The following is a 24,252-nucleotide window of genomic DNA, read 5'->3' as shown; positions in this document are numbered from 1 at the left end:
ATTTCCTGAATTTGAATGTTGGCCTGCCTTGCTAGGTTGGGGAAGTTCTCCTGGATAATGTCCTGAAGAGTGTTTTCCATCTTGGTTCCATTCTCCCCGTCACTTTCAGGTACACCAATCAAACGTAGATTTGGTCTTTTCACATAGTCTCATATTTCTTGGAGGCTTTGTTTGTTTCTTTTTACTCTTTTTTCTCTAACCTTGTCTTCTCACTTTATTTCATTAATTTGATCTTCAATCACTGATACCCTTCCTTCCACTTGATCAAATCAGCTATTGAAGCTTATGCAAGCGTCACGAAGTTCTCGTGCTGTGGTTTTCAGCTCCATCAGGTCATTTAAGTTCTTCTCTACACTGTTTATTCTAGTTAGCAATTCATCTAATCTTTTTTCAAGGTGTTTAGCTTCCTTGCGATGGGTTCGAACATCCTCCTTTAGCTTGGAGAAGTTTGTTATTACCGACCTTCTGAAGACTACTTCTGTCAACTTGTCAAAGTCATTCTCCATCCAGCGTTGTTCCGTTGCTGGCAAGGAGTTGCGATCCTTTGGAGGAGAAGAGGCGCTCTGATTTTTAGAATTTTCATCTTTTCTGCTCTGGTTTCTCCCCATCTTTGCGGTTTTATCTACCTTTGGTCTTTGATGTTGGTGACCTACAGATGGGATTTTGGTGTAGATGACCTTTTTGTTGATGTAGATGCTATTCCTTTTTGTTTGTTAGTTTTCCTTCTAACAGTCAGGTCCCTCAGCTGTAGGTCTGTTGGAGTTTGCAGGAGTTTCACTCCAGACCCTGTTTGCCTGGGTATCACCAGCAGAAGCTGCAGAACTGCAAATATTGCTGCCTGAGCCTTCCTCTGGAAGCTTCGTCCCAGAGGGGCAGCCGCCTGTATGAGGTGTCTGTCGGCCCCTACTGGGAGATGTCTCCCAGTTAGGCTACACGGGAGTCAGGGACCCACTTGAGGAGGCCATCTGTCCGTTCTCAGAGCTCAAACACCATGCTGGGAGAACCACTGCTCTCTTCAGAGCTGTTAGACAGGGACGTTTAAGTCTGCAGAAGTTGTCTGCTGCCTTTTGTTCAGCTATGCCCTGCCCACAGAGGTGGAGTTTAGGGGCAGTAGGCCTTGTTGAGCTGTGGTGGGCTCTGCCCAGTTCAAGCTTCCCAGCCGCTTTGTTTACCTATTCAAGCCTCAGCAATGGCGGACGCCCCTCCCTCAGCCAGGCTGCCACCTCACAGATCAATCTCTGACTGCTGCGCTGGCAGTGAGCAAGGCTCCATGGGCGTGGGACCTGCCAAGCCAGGTACGAGAGAGAATCACCTTGCCTGCCAGTTGCTAAGACCTTGGGAAAAATGCGGTATTTGGGTGGGAGTGCCCCGTTTTTCCAGATAGTCTGTCACGGCTTCCCTTGGCTAGGAAAGGGAAATGATTTCCCCGACCCCTTGCACTTCCCAGGTGAGGCGGCACGCTGCCCTGCTTCAGCTCGCCCTCCGTGGGCTGCACCCGCTCTCCACCCAGTCCCAGTGAGATGAACCAGGTACCTCAGTTGGAAATGCAGAAATCGTCCGTCTTCTGCATTGATCATGCTGGGAGCTGCAGACTGCAGCTGCTCCTATTTGGCCATCTTGGAACACCCCACCACAAACAAACAGTAGCTTAAGCAAGATGGAAGTCCAGGCTATTAGGATGATTAGCTCTGTAAAGTTATTAGAGTTGCAGAATTTTTTTCTGTCTTGTTCTGCCATCCCCTAGGTCTTGCTTGCCCTTGTCTGCATGATTCAAGTTGCCTTACCACCATGTTTGCTTACTAAACAGCATGGAAGGCTCCTCTGCCTATGGAGTGGCTGTTCTTCATTCCTTCACATTCTTTTTTTTTTTTTTTGAGATGAAATCTCGCTCTTTCGCCCAGGCTGGACTGCTGGACTGCAGTGGCGCTATCTTGCCTCACTGCACGCTCCACCTCCTAGGTTCACTCCATTCTCCTTCCTCAGCCTCCTGAGTAGCTGGGACCACAGGCGCCCGCCACCACGCTCAGCTGATTTTTTGTATTTTTTAATAGAGATGTGGTTTCACCCTGGTAGCCAGGATGGTCTCGATCTCCTGACCTCGTGATCCACCCGCCTTGGCCTCCCAAAGTGCTGGGATTACAGGCATGACCTTCACATTCTTGATAAACCTGCTTTCACTTTACTCTATAGGCTCGCCCTGAATTCTTTCCTGCACTAGATCCAAGAACCCTCTCTTGGGATCTGGATCCGGACCCCTTTCCAGTAACATCATTCTGGCGACCACAGAAGGGACAATACTGAGGAAACCCCCAACCCAAAGGCTAACTTTGGTTAAGTGGTGGGGCCCAGTAACATCTTTCTGGCGAATCACAGAAGGGATGATACCGAAGATACCCCCAACCCAAAGGAAAATCATCTGTGAGCACCAGTTGGCTGAAGGATACCACCTTCTGTTGGGACTCAAGAGTTAGGAATGGCGCTCGCCATACAGATGCTTTCAGACTGAGGTCCTCTCTACTCTGAATGCAAGAGATCTAATAGACAGGAATACCATCGTCCCTATTAAGCATGAAGAAGTTACGGAAGTTGAATCTTTTTCCCTCTACAACCCTTAGGATTAAGGGTTCTCTTGTAAAAGGGAGGGAGGAAATGTCAGAAGCATTTAAAACAGAGCAACTCCATTTTGAATAGGGGCTCGGTAAAATAAGGCTGAGACCTAGTGGGCTGCATTCCCAGAAGGTTAGACATTCTAAGTCATGGGATGAGATAGGAGGTCAGCACAAGAAACTGGTCATGAAGGCCTTGCTGATGAAACATGTTGCAGTAAAGAAGCTAAAATCCCCCAAAACCAACATGGAAAGAAGCTGGCTAAGATCCCCCAAAACCAACATGGAAAGAAGCTGGCTAAAACCCCCCAAAACCAACATGGAAAGAAGCTGGCTAAAACCCCCCAAAACCAACATGGAAAGAAGCTGGCTAAAACCCCCCAAAACCAACATGGAAAGAAGCTGTGGCTAAAATCCCCCAAAACCAACATGGAAAGAAGCTGGCTAAAACCCCCCAAAACCAACATGGAAAGAAGCTGGCTAAAATCCCCCAAAACCAACATGGAAAGAAGCTGGCTAAAATCCCCCAAAACCAACATGGAAAGAAGCTGGCTAAAACCCCCCAAAACCAACATGGAAAGAAGCTGGCTAAAACCCCCCAAAACCAACATGGAAAGAAGCTGGCTAAAACCCCCCAAAACCAACATGGAAAGAAGCTGGCTAAAATCCCCCAAAACCAACATGGAAAGAAGCTGGCTAAAATCCACCAAAACCAACATGGAAAGAAGCTGGCTAAAACCCCCCAAAACCAACATGGAAAGAAGCTGGCTAAAATCCCCCAAAACCAACATGGTGATGAGGGTGACCTGGTCATCCTCACTGCTCCACTCCCACCAGTGCAGTGGCAGTTTACAAATGCCATGGCAACATCAGGAAGTTGCCCTGTATCGTCTAAAAAGGAGGAGGAGCCCTCAGTTCTCGGAACTGCCCAACCTTTTCCTGGAAAACTCATAAGTAATCCACTCCTTGATTAGCATATAAGCAAGAAATAAACATAAAAATTGGCAACCAGCAGCCCTTGGGCTGCTCTGCCTATGGAATAGCCATACTTTATTCCTTTACTTTCTTAATAAACTTGCTTTCACTTAAAAAAAAATAAACAGCATGGAAGAGGGAGGAGCTGATAAGGGTACAAATTTCCCTTGAAGGGAACAACCTAGAAGTTGTACCCAGCACTTCTGTCTACATTCCATCTACTATAACTTGGCAGCATGGCTACACCCATTTGCAAGGGACACTAGGAAATCCAGATGCTTAGTTAAAAACTGGAGGTTCTATAAGTAAGAGGGACAAGGGGAGAATGGGTTATTTGGTACCTATAAGCAGTTTCTGCCACAGGGAGATAGTGGTAAATTATATAAAATCCTTGCCATTGTAGCGTTTATAATCTAGTAGGAGAAACAGACTATAAACAAATAACGTAAAACAAACACACACAAACACATATATATAATAACAGTGAATATAATACATATGTTTGTCTTTGATGGAGAGAGAGAGTGTGACATTCATTTCAAGTTATAGTAGTTGCTTGGAGAAAGAATAAAATGTAGCTGGATGCAGTGGCTCATGCCTGTAATCCCAGCACTTTGGTGGGAGGCTGAAGGGAGTAGATCACTTGAGCCCAGGAGTTCGAGACCAGCCTGGGCAATATGGTGGAACCCTGTCTCTACAAAAAGTCGAAAAAATTAGCTGGACGTGGTGGTGCACACCTGTGGTCCCCAGCAGCTACTCAGGAGGCTGGGGTAGGAGGATCGCTTGAGCCCAGGAGGTTGAGGCTGCAGTGAGCTGTGGTGGTGCCATTGCCCTCCACCCTGAGCAACACAGTGAGACCCTGTCTCAAAAGAAAAAAAAAGGAGAATAAAATACAATAAGGGAAGGAGAGAGGGGGGCTGTATTTTGTTCAGGGCCATTTGATGTGTGTGGTCTGAATTGAGTTAAGCATCTGGAAATTTCTAGTGTCCTTTGCAAGTAGATGTGTCCGTGTTGCCAAATTCAGTTTCTTCTTACAGCCAAATTGAAAGCCAGATTGATTTCGTAGGTTCCACATATGTTTATAATTGTGAAGAGAAAGGACTGTATTAGGAAGATTAGGGAAGATTTCTGAAAGGATGAGATATGAATAGAAACCTTAGTGAAGCGAGGGAATGCGAACGATGGGGAGGTCTGAGGGAAAATACAGTGTGAGCATACTGATGTTGGAAAGAGCTGGTACCGTCAAGAAGACCAGCTGAGTGAGCAGAGCACTGAGGCCAAATGGTCTGACCTGGGCAAGGGAATGTTTCCTACGTTTTCCTCTTTCCCCACCATGCTGTAAGCTGTATGAACACAGGGACTTCATTTTCTTGACTGTTGTGTGTCCACGGGGTCTAAAGCAGTTTAATTAGCCTTCATGAAATCATGATTATGCCAGAAGGAATATTGTACAGAAAGAATCAGAACAATTTCGGTAATATTTCTTCCTTTTTTTTTTTTTTTTTGAGACAGAGTCTCACTCTGTCACCCAGGCTGGAGTGCAGTGGCACGATCTCGGCTCACTGCAGCCCCAACTTCCTGGGTTCAAGTGATCTGCCCAACTTAGTCCCCCAGGTAGCCTGGATTATGGGCGTGTGCCACCATGCCTGGCTAAATTTTGTATTTTTTGTAGAGATGAGGTTTTGCCACGTTGCCCAGGTTGGTCTTGAACTCCTGAGCTCCAGTGATTAACCAGCCTTGGCCTCCCAGAGTTCTGAGATTACCAGTGTGAGCCACTGGACCCGGCCAATATTTCTTATTTCATGAGGAAAAAAAACCCACATTTTAAATTGGTATCCCATTACACATGCACCTAGCTCTAATTACTAAGAATATTTTGTTAATTTCATAAGTATTTAGTATAAATGCAAGTGAAAATATGTAGCCGAAAATGTGAAGAAGAGCCTAGTTAGTAACTAATTTTTCCTTTTTCTTTTCTTTTCTTTTTTTTTTTTTTTTTTTTTTTGAGACAGAGTCTCGCTCTGTCGCCCAGGCCAGAGTGCAGTGGCGCGATCTCAGCTCACTGCAACCTCCGCCTCCTGGGTTCAAGCGATTCTCCTGTCTCACCCTCCCGAGTAGCTGGGACTATAGGTACACACCACCACGCCTGGCTAATTTTTTAAATTTTAGTAGAGACGAGGTTTCACCACCATATTGGTCAAGCTGGTCTCGAACTCCTGACCTCAGGTGATCCACCCACCTCGGCCTCCCAAAGTGCTGTGATTACAGGCAAGAGCCACTGCCCCTGGCAATATATAACATTTTTCTGATTAAACTTTATATTGTTTACATTTAGTTTTATTCAAATTAGACAAATCATTGAAATTTAGAAAATGAACAAGGAAAAATAAAATTGTAATTTCCATTTCCATAAAAAAGTACTGTGTATATTTTAATATATTTTCTTCTCGACTTTATGCATATATACTTACTGAAACATATTAAATTTGTTCAAATCCTTCATTTTCTTTTTCTTTCTTTTTTTGAGGCAGTCTTGCCCTGTTGCCTAGGCTGGAGTGCAGTGGCATGATCCCAGCTCACTGCAACCTCTGCCTCCCAGATTCAAGCAATACTTGTACCTCAGCTACCCAAGTAGATGGGATTACAGGCATGCGCCACCACGCTCGTCTAATTTTAGTATCGTTAGTAGAGATGGGGTTTCGCCATGTTGACCAGGCTGGTCTTGAACTCTTGGGCTCAAATGATCAGCCCACATCGGCCTCCCAAAGTGCTGGGATTACAGGCATGAGCCACCATGCCAGGCCTAAATCCTTTTTTATCATGCCTTCCTGATCTGGCTGGTACTGGGACAGACGTTAGTCTCCCGCTGTTTTACTCTGGGGTCTCCATTATAATGGCTTTGAAATGTTGATTCAGAACAACCTAATAGATTCCAAGGATTCCAGTAATCTTCTTCAATGATAATCTTCCATGAGGAGATTATTTTTCTCATGGCCCACTCTCACCTCCAGTCCTTGATTCACATAATTGGTATACTTAGATTATTTTTAAGACTCTCTCTTTTTAAATTGCATATATTCAATTATTTTAAATCTTTTTAGAGATGGGGTCTTGCTGTGTTGCCCAGGGTGGTCTCGAACTCCTTGCCTTAAGCAATCCTCCTGTCTTGGCCTCCCAAGGCAGTGGGATTATAGGTGTGAGCCACTGCTCCAGACTACTGTACATATTTAAGATGTATAACATGAAGATTGGATATACATAGTAAAATGATTACTACAGTCAAGCAAATTAACCTGTCCTTACCTTCCATAATTGTCTTTTTACGTGTGTGTGTGTGTGTGTGTGTGTGTGTGTGTGTGTGTGTGTGGTAAGAGCACCTAATAATCTGCTCTCAGCACATTTTCAATGTATAATACGATATTATTAAGTATAGTCCTCATGTTGTACATGAGATCTCTAGACTTATTCAAGACTCTTCTTTCTTCCTCTCCTTTTTCCTTTCCTTTCCCTTCCTTCCTTCCTTCCTTCCTTCCTTCCTTCCTTCCTCCCTCCCTCCCTCCCTCCCTTCCTTCCTTCCCTCCTTCCTTTTTTTCTTTCTTTCTTTCCTTCCTTCCTTCTTCCCTTCCCCTCCCCCTCCCCCTCCCCCTCCCCCCCTCCCCTCCCCCTCCCCTCCCCTCCCCTCCCCTCACTCTGTTGCCCAGGCTGGAGTGCAATGGCACGATCTTGGCTCACTGCAACCTCTGCCACCCAGGTTCAAGCAATTCTGCCTCAGTCTCCTGAGTAGCTGGGATTACAGGTGCCCACCACCATGCCTGGCTAATTTTGTGTTTTTAGTAGAGATGGGGTTTCACCATGTTGACCAGGCTGGTCTTGAACTCCTGACCTCAGGTGATCCACCCACCTCGGCCTCCCAAAGTGCTGGGATTGCAGGTGTGAGCCACTGCACCTGGCCTATTCAAGACTCTTTTATTCCCTCCCAATATTGTTGTTTTGTTTGAAAATTGTGTCTTTGCACCCTTCCTTTTAGCAGTAACAATTTTTTAACAATATCTTCAATGTGGTTAGTATCATTTCCAAGTTTCTTTTGCTAGTATTAGGTTTCTCCCCCATTGGAAGCTTCACAAAGGCAAAGATTTTTATATTTTAGAACTGCTATTACTTTAATATCTATAACTGTACCTGAAACATGATAGGTACTCAGTATTTGTTGAATGAATAAATCTGAGATAATGAAAGCATGAATGTGAGTAAACAAATTTTTAAAAGCGAAAAAAAAAAGTGACTCTTCCATTTTAAACTCTGGACTTTTATTCATTTTCAGTTTTGTACATTTTTTTCTTGTCATTGTTTTTGGGGCAGACTTATGTAAATTTACCCTGCTGTAGGAATATGTGCGCTCTAGTCTATCTCTAGAACGTATGGTCATTTTTCCGTTTATTTTCAAATACTGTTTCTGTAGTTAAAGCAGCTTAATTATTCATTTATCATTCACTTTTTAAATCTTTGTCCTATAAGGAAGTAAATGGAAATATTACTTCCTATAAGCAAGGAATTATTATATTTGTATATTTTAAAATAAGCCTTTGACCAGTTAAATGCGGCTTCCTGGCTCAATATGAGGATATTTCTTTTTAGACCTTGGGTTTTCACCCATGGAATCAGTAAGCAAATATTAGAAGATAATTTATTCTGGGGCTGAGTGGGGTGACTGACACCTGTAATCCCAAGACTTTTGGAGGCCAGGGCAGGAGGATCATTTGAGGCTAGGTGTTCCAAACCAGCCTGGCTAACATAGTGAAACCCCTGTCTCTACAAAAAATATAAACAACAAAAAAAGAAAATAATTTATTCTGGGGGATTCATACAAAAAAAAAGCTATTTGTGAGATGATGTAGACCTTCTTAAAACAGAAGATATTCTCAGTCTCACATTTTTCAGTACCCACAAAATGATGTCCAGTATGTTCTTGGATTGTTATTACACCAAATTCATTGATTCTTAAGATTTTCCCATGTCACACTGATTTGGAAAAGAATACTGTTCTAGGATAAATTTATTCCAAAACTGTGGTTTCGTGTCACTGTTCTTTCCTAGGCAAAGATTTGAGGCAGCATTTGCTTATTTGCTTTTCTGCCATTGTTTTCCACTCAGCAGCATTTCATGGGTCTTTATGCTGACAAGGGACTGACAGGCAAAAAGTACGCACTAACGATTGATGTATCGATATCTGTTGTACGAATCGTAGAGTTGTTTGGGGATCATTCTCAAACATTCTTTGACCTTGTAATCCCAATTTTTGGAATCTACTCCTAGGAAGACAACTCTTAAGAGAAAAAACTCTCAGCAGTTTTTACTAAAATGTTTAGGGTGATTCTCCAAAACAGCATATATGCCTAATAACTGAGATTAATATGATGTTTAAAAATGTTCCAGAAATGATGTTGAAGAAAACAAAGTAAAATATACACACCAATTGCATTCATTAAAAAGAAGTATAATTGGCTGGGCGCGGTGGCTCACGCCTATAATCCCAGCACTTTGGGAGGCTGAGATGGGTGCGTCACCTGAGGTCAGGAGTTTGAGACCAGCCTGGCCAACATGGTGAAACCCCGTCTCTTTACTAAAAATATATAAAAAATTAGTCAGGCATGGTGGCACACACCTGTAATCCCAGCTACTCGGTAGGCTAAGGCAGAAGAATCACTTGAACCTAGTAGGTGGAGGTTGTAGTGAGCCGAGATCGTGCCATTGTTCTCCGACTTAGGCAACAAGAGCAAAGCTCGTCTCAAAAAAAAAAAAAATTGTTGATGGAGGTTGCAAGAGAATAAAATTACGTGACTTGTTGATCTTAAGTTTGTTGAATCCTTTTCAGGTAAAGATGTTTAAACATACATTAAAAATTCAGCCATTACCGGTCATGATGAGTCACACCTGTAATTCCAGCACTTTGGGAGGCCAAGGTGGACGGGTCATTTGAGGTCAGAAGTTCGAGACCAGCCTGGCCAACATGTTGATACCCCATCTCTACTAAAAATACAAAAATCAGCCAGGCGTGTTGGGGCACGCCTTTAATCCCAACTACTTGGGAGGCTGCGGCGGGAGAATCACTTGAACTCAGGAGGTGGAGGTTGCAGTGAGCCGAGACTGCCCCACTGTACTCTAGCCTGGGCAATAGAGTTAGACTCTGTCTCAAAAAAAAAAAAAAAAGAAAGAAAGAAAGAAAGGAGAGAGAGAGAGAGAGAGAGAGAGAATCAGCTATTATAACAAATAACTGGATAAAAGAGAAATGAGTTCATTTAAATTTGAGCAGTGCTTGAAATGGACAGTATAGCTATAAATGCATATGCGAAGTAAATATATAGAATGTATAAATGCTGAAAACTCTAGATGTCGTATCTGGCAAAAACTTAGTATTTTTAATGAAAGACAACAACCTCTGAACAACTACGGAAACATCTGTCACTAAGTAGAAATTATTTCTAACAAATGTGTAACTTTACTCTTGCAGGCCAAAGAGTGTGGCCAGATGCAAAATAAGTGGCTGATGATAAACATTCAAAATGTTCAAGACTTTGCATGTCAGTGCCTCAACCGCGATGTGTGGAGCAACGAAGCTGTGAAGAATATTATCCGGGAACATTTCATTTTCTGGCAGGTGAGAAGGAGAGTTAATCAGAAGTTTTGTAGAATTTTACTTTTGTAGTGTGGGTTGTTGAGGGAAAGGAATTGGGTTATAATGAATTAAGACATTTAAAAAAAGGTAAAGCCGGCTGGGGGCAGTAGCTCACGCCTATAATCCCAGCACTTTGGGAGGCTGAGGCCGGCGGATCACCTGAGGTCAGGAGTTTGAGACCAGCCTGGCCAACATGGTGAAACCCTGTCTCTCCTAAAAATACAAAAAATCAGCCAGGTGTGGCAGCAGGCACCTGTAATCCCAGCTACTCGGGAGGCTGAGGCAGGAGAATCACTTGAACCCGGGTAGCGGAGACTGCAGTGAGCCAAGATCACACCATTACACTCCAGCCTGAACAATAGAGCTAGACTCCATCTCAAACAAAACAAAACAAACAAACTGTACTGTTCAGTAGAAATATATTGTAAGCTGTACACATAATTTAAATTTTTCCAGTAGCCACATTAAAAAAGATTAATCAAAATAGATGAAATTAACTGTAATAATGTATTTGGTTAAATCAATATATCTATATAACTAATACAAAAATAATGAGATGATCTGCATTTATTTGGTGTTGAGTCTTCAAGATATGGTTTGTATTTTATACTTACACCCCTTCTCCATTTGGAGTAGCAAGATTTCAGGTGCTTCAGTAGCCACTTGTGGGTAGTGGTTGCTGTATTAGACAGTGCAGGTATAGAAGATCTTGAGGTAATTGGAAGCATTTGGCTAAGACTTAGATTTTAGCTTGAGTTTGATACTTTTTAACTCTGTGTTCTTAGACATGTCACTTTAGTCTTCCCAGCTAATGAGATAAGGTTACAGACCTTGTATCATTTTTCCCCCACTGTGAGACAGGGTTTTGCTCTGTCACCCAGGCTGCAATGCAGTGGCATGAACATGGCTCAGCCTTGACCTCCTGGGCTCAAATGATCCTTCCACCTCAGTTTCTTGAGTAGTTGGGACCACAAACATGCACCACTATGCCCATATAATTTTTTTTTTTTTTTTTTTTTTGTAGAGATGGGGTCCTGCCATATTGCCCAGGCTCGTCTCGAACTCCTGGGCCCAAGCCATCTGCTTCCCTTGGCTTCCCAAAGTGCTGGGATTATAGGCATGAATCACCGTGCCGGCTCAATTTTTTTATTTTTTATTTTGTGAAAAGTTATAGAAAATAAAAACTTATGAAGGAGCTTAATTTTTTCCCCTACTGTAAGATATGCTATTAATGTTATTAATTTGCCTGTTTATATTTTACAGGCCCCTAAATTTAATGTAACTTTAATGGTAAAATTCCTTGTATTTTATTCAACAAATATTGATCGAGCAGCTCTTTGCTTAGCACTGTGCTGGACTCTTGAGCTTATAATCTTTTTTTCTTTCTTTCTTTTCTTTTCTTTTTTCTTTTTTTTTTTAAATAAATGGACAGGGTCTTGCTCTGTCACCCAGGCCGGAACACAGTGGTGCAGTCATAGCTCACTGCAGGCTCTAACCCCTATAGGCTCAAGGGATCTTCCCACCTCAGTCTCCTGAGTTGCTGGGACTATAGGTGCACACCATTAAACCTGGCTAATTTAAAAACAAACAAACAAACAAAAAAAAACAAAAAAACTTCTCGTGGAGATGCCCAGGCTGGTCTCAAACTCCTGGCCTCAAGCTGTCCTCTGCCTCTGCCCTACAAAGTGCTAGGGTTATAGGTGCGAGCCACCATGTGGAGCCATAATCTTTTTTTTTTTTTTTTTTTTTTGAGACAAGTCTTGCATTGTCGCTGGGCAGGAGTGCAGTGGCACGATCTCAGCTCACTGCAGTCTCTGCCTCCCGGGTTCAAGCGATTCCCCTGCTTCAGTCTCCCGAGTAGCTGGGACTACAAGCGCCTGTCACCAGGCCCGGCTAATTTTTGTATTTTAGTAGAGACGGGGTTTCACCATGTTGGCCAGGATGGTCTCAATCTCCTGACCTTGTGATCCACTCGCCTCGGCCTCCTAAAGTGCTGGGATTACAGGCGTGAGCCACCATGCCTGGCCCATAATCTTAATATATTGTGATTTATTAAGATGTATATGGTTGAGAGTTATGAATGACATAGTTGACAGATAACTTGAGCAGGAAGAATAATACCTCATCTGAACTGGGAAAGGAGGAGGAATGGGTCAATATGTTTATGGTAAATTTCCAGAGAGTGCTGGAAGTGGGAAGTTGAAGGAGTTCAAACCAGATTTATTTTCTTTTTAGTGTAGGAGTGAGATCTTAATACATAGGCCGGAGGTATATTTGGAGAGCTAATTGATGTTGGTGTATAAGAAGGTTATAGTTGGTTCTTTTCTTAGAGGCTGACTTTTTTTTTTATATCAATGATTTAACAGGTTTATCATGACAGTGAGGAAGGTCAGAGATACATACAGTTTTATAAGTTAGGGGATTTCCCCTATGTTTCCATATTGGACCCACGGACAGGTAAGATTTATATCAGCACGCAGCTTTTAACCTATTACTTGTCTTTCAGTTACCTAAATGATTGATCTTTAATATTTGACTGGATCTGTTTTCAGAATTGCAGTAATTTAGGTGAAGGTTTCGTTTTTTTCCCTTTATAATTATTTAAACATCTATTGATGTATGTATTTAGGACATCTTTTTCTGGCAACATTGGGAGATGGTAGTATTTTATGTTTGTGCAGTTCTGTTCTTTTGAAGAATAACTGATATGTTCATCTTACCTTTTTTAAGGGATTTTTTAAAAGTTTTTTTACCAGCTGGGCGTGGTGGCTCATGCCTGTAATCCCAGCACTTTGGGAGGCCGAGGTGGGCGGATCATGAGGTCAGGCGATCCAGACCATCCTGGCTAACACGGTGAAACCCCATCTCTACTAAAAATACAAAAAAAATTAGCCGGGCATGGTGGCGGGCACCTGTAGTCCCAGCTGCTTGGGAGGCTGAGGCAGGAGAATGGCCTGAACCCGGGAGGTGGAGGTTGCAGTGAGCCGAGATCGCGCCACTGCACTCCAGCCTGGGCAACAGAGTGAGACTCCATCTCAAAAAAACAAAACAAGACAAAAGTTTTTTTTATCATTAAAATATTAAGATTGCCCAGATACTAGTTGTAATCCCACCTGAGAAGCAGAGGGTGGAGCTGGTTTTATTAATTGATGGTGTTTTATATAGATATTGCTTTGTCTGAATCTCTTCTTCCTAAATGGCAGTAAGTGATAGCAGCAGATAAGATAGTTGCCCTATCATTACGGGTGGGAATCTGTTAGGTGAGTATAATTGATGTGACTTCTAGGTTATGAAGACACTATGTAGCATAAGCTGGTGGAGAGGATATGTCTTTACAGTACACTTTATGCATGTGCTGAAAGAGATACTTAATGAGAATGTTCAGAAAGATCCTAGATATTATATTTACAGATCCTGGTTTTTAATGTATGCATATGCTGAAAGAGATAATGAGAATGTTCAGAAAGATTCTAGATATTACCTTTATAGATCCTGGTTTTTAATCTATGCATATGCTGAAAGAGATACTTAATAAGAATGTTCAGAAAGATTCTAGATATTACCTTTATAGATCCAGGTTTTTAATCTATGCATATGCTGAAAGAGATACTTAATGAGAGTGTTCAGAAGGATTCTAGGTATTATATTTATAGATCCTGGAGAATGTTCAGAAGGATTCTAGATATTATATTTATTTATAGATCTTGGTTTTTAATCCTTAGGTCAGAAGCTAGTAGAATGGCACCAGTTAGATGTATCTTCTTTCTTGGACCAAGTGACGGGATTTCTGGGTGAACATGGACAACTGGATGGACTTTCTAGCAGTCCCCCCAAAAAATGTGCCCGTTCAGTAAGTATAATTAGGAGGTGGTGATGGGAAAATAAATGTAATTGGTCATAAGCATCTTATATAAAATGTTCGATGTTAAGATGGTAAAGATAATCTAACTAGTGGACAACTATCACTGTGGCTATAGCATCTTAGATATCCTCCTTATATTTTGATAATTTCCCACATGAGAGTTCCATCTTCTTGGTGAAATCATGATACTCATACTCCTGCCAGTCTGTCTTGCAGCTAGAGTGCAGGCAGATGCCCCAGGATCTGGATTTAGAAGGAAGCAATGTGAATAGGTTGGGCAGGAGGACTGACCTGGCAAGCCTAGTGGTAAAGGTGTCTACTTCCTGAGGGGCAGCTCTGGGAGGGCTTCTGATATCCAGGTCTAAATAGCAGTGAAAGTGGTTGGTTTTTTTGTGTGTTTTGTTTTTTGTTTTGGAGTGGGATCTTGCTGTTTTGCCCAGACTGTCCTAGAACTCCTGGGCTGAAGCAGCCTTCTCACCTCAACTGCCCGAATAGCTAGGACTACAGGTACATGCCACCACAGCCGGCTGGAAGTGGTGTTTTTTGTTTTTGCTGAAACAACTGTCATGGTATAGTTGAGCATTTTTATTGGTTAATATAGCTTTAGGGCCTGGCTCTCTGGCCCTCCTAGAATTTACTTCTATACTTAATTTCTAGAATATACTATTACTAGGTAGACATGTTTGATAATTGGTATCAAGATTGGTTGCAAATAAGAGACTGAACTTGCAAAGATACAGCAATCTCACATTGGTTTTCATGGCTGTTTGGCTTTGATAGCAGTAGGGATAAAAATAGTTTTGTTTTGTTGGTTTTTTTTTTTTCCTTTTTTTGAGCCAGAGTCTTGTTCTGTTGCTAGGGCTAGAGGGCAGTGGTGTGATCTTGGCTCACTGCAACCTTCGCCTCCTGGGTTCAAGCGATTCTCCTGCCTTGGCCTCCCAAGTAGCTGGGATTACAGACGTACACCACTGCATCTGGCTAATTTTTGTAGTTTTAGTAGAGATGGGGTTTCGCCTTGTTGGGCAGGCTGGTTTCAAACTGCTGACTTCAAGTGATCCGCCCTTCTCGGCCTCCCAAAGTGCTGGGATTACAGGCGTGAGCTAACGCGCCCGTCCTGTTTTTTTCTTTGGGCAGGATCTTGTTCCATTTCTCAGGCTGCAGTGCAGTGGTGTGATCATGGCTCGCTACAGCCTCCACCTCTTGGGCTCAAGCGATCCTTCCACCTCAGCCTCCTAAGTAGCTGGGACCACAGATGTGCATCACCATGCCAGCTAAGCTGTTAAAGTTTTGTAGAGACGGAGGCCTCCGTATGTTGTCTAGGCTGGTCTCAAACTGGCCTCAAGCAATCCTCCCGCCTCAGCCTCCCAAAATGTTGGGATTCTGGGTGTGAGCACCACACCTAGCAACATTTTTATTGTATTGTATTGTATTTATTGTATTGTATTGTATTTTTTGAGATGTGGTCTCACACTGTTGCCCAGGCTGGACTGCAGTGGCATGATATTAACTCACTGTAGTCTTTGCAGCCTTGAGAGAACTTTAAAAAAAAAAAAAACTTGCTAGCCTTGAACTCCTGGGCTCAGTCAATCTTCTTGCCTCAGCCTCCTGAGTAGCTAGGACTACAGGTGTGCACCATCATGCCTGGCTAATTTTTTATTTTTTGTGGAGGCAGGGTCTCAATATGTTACTCAGCCTGATCTCAAACTCCTAAGCTCAAGCAATTCTCCTCCCTTGGCCTCCCGAAGTGCTGGGATTATAAGCATGAACCACCATACCATGCCCAGCCTAAAAATAGTTTTAGAAGATGTGAGGAACACTTCCTTCAGTTATCACCTATAATAAAGTGCCTATTTAAGGAAAAGCCCTAAGGGATAGTATAGAAATCTTGTTGGCCAGGATGGTCTCGAACTCCTGGCCTCAAGCAGTTCTCCTGCTTGATTTATAGTTTTTTTGAGAGCATTTTGTTGTTGTTGTTTCCTTTCTTCCATGTAATGCTTTATAATGTCGTTTTCTGCTTTTGGTAACATGTTAATGCTGACCTCACAATGAATTGAGAAGTATTTCTTCCTCTTCTGTTTTCTGCAGTAGTGTCTGTAGAATTGTTGTTATTTCTTCCTTAATGTTTGATGACATTTACCAGTGAAGCTACATGGGCCTAGAGTTTTTTTTTGGTGGAAAATTTTAAACTACAAATTCAATCTTATCGGTAGATACGTGACTACTTGGTATCTGTTTCTTCTTGGATAAGCTTTAGCAAGTTGTATCTTTCTAGGGATTTGTTCATTTTACTATATTGTCAGAGTTCATTATAGTCCCTCGTGATGCCATGAATGAATGTAGAGATTGTAGTTGTCCCCTCTCTTAATTCTGTTTTTGGGAATTTGTGGCTTCCCTTTTTTCCCCCGACTGTCTGGCCAGAGGCTTAGTAGTTTTATTGATCTTACGGAACCAGCTGGGGTGTGGCATGTGCCTATAGTCCCATCTGCTTGGCAGGAATATTGCTTGAGCCCAGGAGTTCAGGAATGTAGTGTGCTATGATCATACCTGTGAGTAGTCACTGCACTCCAGTCTTTGGGCAACAGTAAGACTCTGTCTCTTAAGAAACAAAAAACAAAACAAAACAAAAAACTGCTCTTGGGATTTTGGTGGGTTTTTTTTGTTTTTCTCTATTGTATTTGCTTTCTAGGTCATTTATTAATTTGTGTTTTCTTTGAGCTTAATTTTATTTTCTTTTCCTGGATGTATACTCTTTTTTTTTTTTTTTTTAAGGTGGGGAAGCTTAGGTCATTAATTTGATACCTTTCTCTCTTCTAATATAAGCATTTAATTCTATAATTTTTCGATAAGAATTGCTATTGCTCAATACTATTTTCTAGCTACAAGAGAAATTAGTAAAATGAATTTTTTAGTTGAACACGTTTTATAAACTTAAATAGGGTTATATAAGTAAGGAAATCAGAGGAGAATGAAATTCAATAGGAGCCTGACAGTGTCTGCCATGGCCACAATTTTTAAAATCGAGCTACATGCTATATGTGCAATGTCATTGCTATAAATTTACAATCCACCTAAGCCATTGCATGTCACATAGACACCTCTACTTGCTTTTTAGGGGTGGTAAGTTCGCCTGAAGTTTACTTTAAAATTTTCCTTTGGCCGGGTGTGGTGGTGTGTGCCTGTAATCCCAGCTACTTGGGAGGCTGAGGTGGGAGGATTGCTTGAGCCTGGCAGGTGGAGATAGTAGTGAGCTGAGATTGTGCCACTGCACTTCAGCCTGGGTGACAGAGTAGAACCTCTCTCAAAAAAAAAAAACAACCAGCAAAAAAATGTTTTTCCCTTTAATTTTTTGCTACATGATTGCCTGATAGTAAAAGCCAAAATGTGGTTTCTTTAGTTTTTTATTAGCAACTCACACTTTTTTTTTTTACCTATTTATTATGGAAAATTTTAAGCATATTCAAAAGTTGAAGTAGTTTATTGAGCCTCTTTGTTAGCTAATTTCGGTAATTATCAGCAGATGGCCAGTCTTCTTTCCTCTGTATCCCATCACATCTGAATTATTTTGAAGCTAATCTCAGAATTCATTGTTTCATTAATTAATACTCTGGCATATATATTTAAAAGATAAAGCCTTTTTTATTTTTAAAAATACTATCACAATGTCATTATTATACCCTTAAAAATGAGCAGTAATTCTGTAATATCCTGAAATATCCAGTGTTCAATTTTAGATTATCTTACGATTTCTTTCCTCTATAGTATGTTTGAGTCAGGAGCTAAGTAAGTTCCACTCAAACAACGTATTTTGTGATTCATTAAGTTTAGTAAAATCTGTGGCATTAGAACTTTACCAAGGGAAAAACTGTAGAAGTTTGCATTTCTTGTTATCATAATGAAAACCTTCATTGTAATTAATGGAATTACTAGTTGAAGAATGCAGTGGTGAACAAAGTAAACATTTGTCTCTATGTTTTAGTCATTTTAAAGAATGGTGTTTTGACTTTATAGTTAAAACTTTTAATTCTTGTCTTTCTCTAGGCAGGTAATAGATAAACTTTTCTTGATTTTGTTCGTTTTGATTTTTTTTTTTTTTTGAGATGGAGTCTCGCTCTGTCACCAGGCTGGGGTGCAGTGGCGCAATCTCTGGCAACTTCTGCCTCCCGGGTTCAAGTGATTTTCCTGCCTCAGCCTCCTGAGTAGCTGCGACTACAGGCGCGCACCACCATGCCCAGCTGATGTTTGCATTTTTAGTGGAGATGGGGTTTCGCCATGTTGGCCAGGCTGGTCTCGAACTCCTGACCTCAGGTGATCTGCCCGCCTCAAGCCTCCCAAAGTGCAGGTGTGAGCCACTGTGCCTGGCCTGTTTTGCTTTGTTATCATTTGTGTGTTCACTGGAGTAGCACTTTTAATTTCCTTCAAGAACTTTTCCTTGCATTCATAGCTTGGCTGTTTGGTGCAAGAGGCCTAGCTTTGTGTCTGTCTCAGCTTTCCACATGCCTTTCTCACTAAGCTTAATCATTTTTAGTAGAGGCGGGGTTTCACCATGTTGGCCAGGATGGTCTCGATCTTTTGACCTCTTGATCCACCCACCTGGGCCTCCCAAAGTGCTGGGATTACAGGCATGAGCCACCCGGCCTGGCCTTCATTTTGATATTTAAAAAAATGCGTATGCTTACTTGAATCCAGAAGTGCAAGACCAGCCTGGGGAACTTAGACCCTGTCTCTTAAAAAAAGAAAGAAAAAAAAATATGTGTATATATATATTTATGTATGTATGTATGTATGTATGTATGTATGTATGTATGTATGTATGTGCCAGGTGCGGTGTCTCACGCCTGTAATCCCAGCACTTTGGGAGGCCGAGGTCAGGAGTTTGAGACCAGCCTGGCCAATGTGGTGAAACCCCATCTCTATTAAAAATACAAAAAAATAAATAAATAAAAATTAGCTGGGCGTGGTGGCGGGCGCTTGTAATCCCAGCTACTTGGGAGGCTGAGGCAGGAGAATCGCTTGAACCTGGGAAGGCTGAGGTTGCAGTGAGCCGAGTTCGTGCCACTGCACTCCAGCCTGGGCAACAAGAGTGAGACTCCATCTCAAAAACAAAACAAAACAAAACAACAAAAACGTGTGTGTGTGTATATACACACACATATATATATCTCCATTCCAATTTGGCTGTGTAAGACACAGTCCTTGCTCTTAAAGTAGAAGGGATACAGTCAGCAGAACATAATAATGAATGGCAAGCTATTATATTTCTTATGCCGTTTGACTTGTTTTTTGGTTTAACTTGTTCTTTTTCCTGTGTTTTATGACTCCATCTCACAGGAGAGCCTTATAGATGCAAGTGAAGACAGCCAGCTAGAAGCTGCCATCAGAGCCTCCTTACAAGAAACACATTTTGATTCAACACAGACAAAACAGGATAGCCGCTCAGATGAAGAATCTGAATCTGAACTTTTTTCTGGCAGTGAGGAGTTCATATCCGTTTGTGGCTCTGATGAAGAAGAAGAGGTAGAGAATCTTGCCAAGTCCAGAAAGTCTCCCCACAAAGATTTGGGGCATAGAAAAGAGGAGAATAGAAGGCCGCTGACTGAGCCACCAGTCAGAACTGATCCTGGAACAGCCACAAACCACCAAGGATTGCCAGCTGTGGATTCAGAGATACTGGAGATGCCACCTGAAAAAGCAGATGGAGTAGTGGAGGGGATAGATGTAAATGGTAAGTTACATTTAGACATACTTTACTTCAAACTTAGATATTGGGGCCGGGCGTGGTGGATCACTGAGGTTAGGAGTTCCAAGACCAGCCTCGCCAACATGGCAAAACCCTGTCTCTACTAAAAATACAAAACTTAGCCAGGTGTGGTGGCACGTGCCTATAGTCCCAGCTACTTGGGAGGCTGAGGCAGGAGAGTGGCTTGAACCAGGGAGGCGGAGGTTGCAGTGAGCTGAGATCACGCCACTGCACTCCAGCAAAACACTTGAGTAATTGCTGAATGGCTGTATTTATTTACATATTTATTTAAACTAATATTCTGTCTTAAACTCCTGTATCCCGTTTTTTTTTTTTTTTTAAACCCTTCCTTTAGGACCAAAAGCACAGCTGATGTTGCGGTATCCAGATGGAAAAAGGGAACAGATCACTCTTCCAGAGCAAGCTAAACTGCTAGTAAGTACAGGCTTGCTTTGGTTCAGTTCCGACCACTGCAATAAGACGAGTCCCAAATTGTTTGGTTTCCTGGTGCATATAAAAGTTATGTTTACATTATTCCATAGTCTATTAAGTGTGCAGTAGCTTTATGTCTAAAAAAAAGCACATAACTTAATTAAAAAAAGCTTTTGCTAAAAAGTGCTAATGATCCCCTGAATCTTCAGTGAGTCATCTTTTTGTTGGTGGAGGGTCTTGATATTGATGGCTACTGACTGATTGGGGTGATGGGTACTGTGGCAGTTTCTGAAAATGTGACAGCAGTGAAGTTGCTGCATCAGTTGCTTCCTTCGACAAAAAATTTCTCTGTAGCATGTGCTGCCGTTTGATAGTATTTTACCCACAGTAGAACTTCTTTCAAAACTGGAGTCAGTCTTCTCAGAATTTGCCGCAATTTTATCCACCAAGTTTATGCAATATTCTAAATCCTTTGTTGTCATTTCAACAGTGTTAAAAGCATCTTCAGCAGAAGTAGATTCCATCTCCAGAAATCACTTTCTTTGCTCATCCATAAGAAGCAACCCCCCTCCCTTTAATGTTTGATCATGAGATTGCAGCAATTCAGTCATATCGCCATCCTCCACTTCTAATTCTAGTTCTCTTGCAGTTTTTACCCCACTTGCAGTGACTTCCTCCAGTGAATTCTTAAACCCCTCAAAGTCATCCATGAGGGTTGGAATCAACCTCTTCCAAAGCCCTGTTCATGTTGATATTTTGACTTCCTATGAGTTGTGAATGTTCTTAATGGTATTTAGACTGCTGAATCCTTTCCAGAAGATTTTCAGTTTACTTTGCCCAGATTCATCAAAGGAATCTGTATTTATGCCCAGGCTGGTGTGCAGTGGTCATAGCTCACTGTAACCTTGACTCCCCGCCCCGGCTCAAGTGATCCTCCTGCCTCACCCTCCTGAGTAGATCACCACACCCAATTAATTTTCTTTTTTTTAGAGATGGTTTCTTGCTGTGTTGCCAGGTCTTGTCTCAAACTCTTGGACTCAAGTAATCCTCTCACCGCAGCCTCCCAAAGTGTTGAGATTTGGCTCCGTGCCTGGCCAAAATGTGTTTCTTAAATAAGATTTAAAAGTTGAAATGACTCCTTGATCCATGGGCTGCAGAATGGATGTTGGGTTAGCAGACTGGAAACAGCATTCATTTTTATTTGCATTTTCGTCAGAGCTCTTACGTGACTAGGTGCGTTGTCAATGAGCAGTAATATGTTGAATCTTTTTTCTGAGCAGTAGGTCTGAACAGTGGGCTTAAAATATTTAGTAAGTTATGCTGTAAATTGATGTGCTGTCTTTCCAGGTTTTGTTGTTGCAGTTACAGAACACAGACAGAGTAGATTTAACATAATTTTTAAGGGACCTGGGATTTTGGAATGTTAAATGAGCATTGGCTTCAACTGGAAGTCACCAGCTGCATTACCCCCTAACAAGAAAGTCAGCCTTTTTGAACCTTTGAGTGCAGCCACTGACTTCTCTCTAGCTGTGAAAGTCCTTGATGGCATCTTCTTCCAATAGAAGGCTGTTTTGTCAAACTTAAATCTGTTATTTAGTGTTGTTACCTTCGTGAACTGTCTTCACTACATCTTCTAGATAAGTTTCTGCACCTTCTGCATCAGCACTTGCTGCTTCACCTTGCACTTTGATGTTATGGAGATGGCTTCTTTCCTTCAACCTCATGAACCAACCTCTGCTAGCTTCCAGCTTTTCTTTCGTAGCTTCCTTAACTCCCTTAGCCTTCATAGGATTGAAAAGAGTTAGAACCTTGTTTTGGATTAGGCTTTGGCTTAAGGGAATGTGTGACTGGTTTGATTTTTCTGTACAGACCACTAAAACTTTCTCCTTTTCAGCAGCACAGCAGTAAGGCTGTTTTGCTTTCTTTCCTTTTTTTTTTTTTGAGACAGAGTCTTGCTCTGTCACCCAGGCTAGAGTACAATGGTGCGATCTCAGCTCACTGCAACCTCCGCCTCCCGGGTTCAAGCAGTTCTCCTTGCCTCAGCCTCCCGAGTAGCTGGGATTACAGGCGCCCACCACCACGCCCAGCTAACTTTTGTATTTTTAGTGGAGATGGGGTTTCACCATGTTGGCCAGGCTGGTCTCGAACTCCTGACCTCAGGTGATCCACCCACCTCAGCCTCTGAAAGTGCAGGTGTGAGCCACTGCTCCCGGCCTGTTTTGCTTTGTTATCATTTGTGTGTTCACTGGAGTAGCACTTTTAATTTCCTTCCAGAACTTTTCCTTGCATTCACAGCTTGGCTGTTTGGTGCCAGAGGCCTAGCTTTGTGTCTGTCTCAGCTTTCCACGTGCCTTTCTCACTAAGCTTCATCATTTTTAGCAATTGATTGATTTTGAGGATGGACACTTCCTTTCACTTGGGTACTTAGAGGCCTACACTGGTAGGTTATTAATTGGCCTACTTTCAATACTGTCATGTCTCCGGGAATAAGGAGGCCTGAATAGAGGGAGAGAGATGGGAAAACTCCCATTAGGTGGAGCAGTCAGAACATACTTCTTTATTAAGTTTGCGGTCTTGTGTGGGCGTGGTTTGTGGTGCCCAAAAGCAGAATAGTAACATCAAAGGTAACTGCTCACAGTTCATTATAATAGATAAAATAATGAACTGCAAGCATTACCAAAAGGTGACACAGAGACAGGCAGTGAGCACATGCTGTTTGAAAAATGGAGCCAATAGAGGCACTTGACACAAGGTTGCCGCAGACCTTCAGTAACTTGAAGCACAATGAAACAGGGCGTTGGAAGCATTTTCTCGAAGCAGAGAAGCTAATTCATTGGAGTAAGTTCAGTGAGCTTTGCTTGATAATTCTTTGAAATAGGTGTGGGAGGCCAGGTGCAGTGGCTCACTCCTGTAATCCCAGCACTTTGGGAGGCCAAGGTGGGAGGATCACTTGAGTCCAGGAGTTTGAGACCAGCCTGGGCAACAAAGCGAGACCCTGTCTCTGTTTAAAAAAAAAAAAAAAAAGAAAGAGGTGTTAGATGTTTAGTCTGATCTCTAACTGCAAACTGTGGTGAGTCATCTTGTTGTTGTTGGTTGGTTGGTTGTTTTGAGACAGGGTCGCTCTGTCGCTCAGGCTGGAGTGCAGTGGCCCAATCTCAGCTCACTGCAACCTCTGCCTCCTGGGCTCAAGCGAGCCTCCCACCTCAACCTCCCAGGTAGCTGGGACTACAGGTGTGTGCCACCACACCCAGCTAATTTTTTAAAATTCTTTTTTGTAGAGAAGGGTTCTCACTATGTTACCCAGGCTGGTCTTGAACTCCTGAGCTCAAGTCATCCTCCTTCCCCAGCCTCCCAAAGTGCAGGGATTACAGGTGGGAGCACCCGGTTGTGAATCTTAATTCTAATTAGTTTATTTCCTTCCCAGATTAAATTAGGTAAGCCACGTAAGGTATGTTCCAGTGAAGATTTTTCTGTTTCATGCCTGCATGGAATAGAAACCCAACTGAAATGACTACTTCTGGAAAAGGACGACTGGGGTTATTTGAAGAGGATAGTGGTTTTCCAGCAGCTGGAACTGCAAAGTGTTTAAGAACTGTGTCTGTTTTTCTCTATGTTTCTCTTCTGGGGCCTGTAGGTTTTCTCTTGGGATTCTCTGCTTCACACCATTCTCTGCATACTGGTGGCTTTTGTTTATTCCTCAGCTCGCACGTGGTTCATCATGGTGACGCTGCGGGCATTTTCATCTAACACAGCTGATGAGCTTTCTGTGGTTTTTGGTTTGTGTTGTTTTTGTTTTTTTCTTCCTTTTCTTGTAGACACGATCTGGCTCTGCCCAGGCTGGAGTGCTGTGGGGCACGACCTTGGCTCACTGCAACCTCTGCCTGCCAGGCTTAAGCCATTCTCCTCCCACCTTGACCTTCCCGGTAGCTGGGACTACAGGCACACACCACCATGCCCGGCTAGTTTT

General features: G+C 42.4%; 1 protein-coding gene across 2 annotated transcripts in view, besides 1 other annotated feature; it reads left to right on the top strand.

Moving 5' to 3' along the window:
* Nucleotides 1–24,252, top strand: part of UBXN7 (UBX domain protein 7) — an 84,766-nt gene that overhangs the window by 50,296 nt on the left and 10,218 nt on the right. For both annotated transcript variants that reach the window (XM_011512671.3, NM_015562.2), the window contains 5 exons: nucleotides 10,090–10,236; nucleotides 12,621–12,711; nucleotides 13,977–14,104; nucleotides 19,445–19,838; nucleotides 20,209–20,288. In XM_011512671.3, the coding sequence (XP_011510973.1) occupies nucleotides 10,090–10,236; nucleotides 12,621–12,711; nucleotides 13,977–14,104; nucleotides 19,445–19,838; nucleotides 20,209–20,288 (840 nt within the window). The remainder of the gene's footprint in view (nucleotides 1–10,089; nucleotides 10,237–12,620; nucleotides 12,712–13,976; nucleotides 14,105–19,444; nucleotides 19,839–20,208; nucleotides 20,289–24,252) is intronic.
* Nucleotides 725–1,302: an enhancer, noted in NCBI's record as "H3K27ac-H3K4me1 hESC enhancer chr3:196107701-196108278 (GRCh37/hg19 assembly coordinates)". NCBI's record gives its function as "activates a minimal SCP1, AML or CMV promoter by ChIP-STARR-seq in primed H9 embryonic stem cells {active_cell/tissue: H9 hESC(primed)}" and the evidence as "EXISTENCE:reporter gene assay evidence [ECO:0000049][PMID:30033119]".

This window comes from Homo sapiens, chromosome 3 (assembly GCF_000001405.40).
Source record: "Homo sapiens chromosome 3, GRCh38.p14 Primary Assembly".
Lineage (NCBI taxonomy): Eukaryota > Metazoa > Chordata > Mammalia > Primates > Hominidae > Homo > Homo sapiens.
This window is presented reverse-complemented; position numbering and strand designations above follow the sequence as displayed.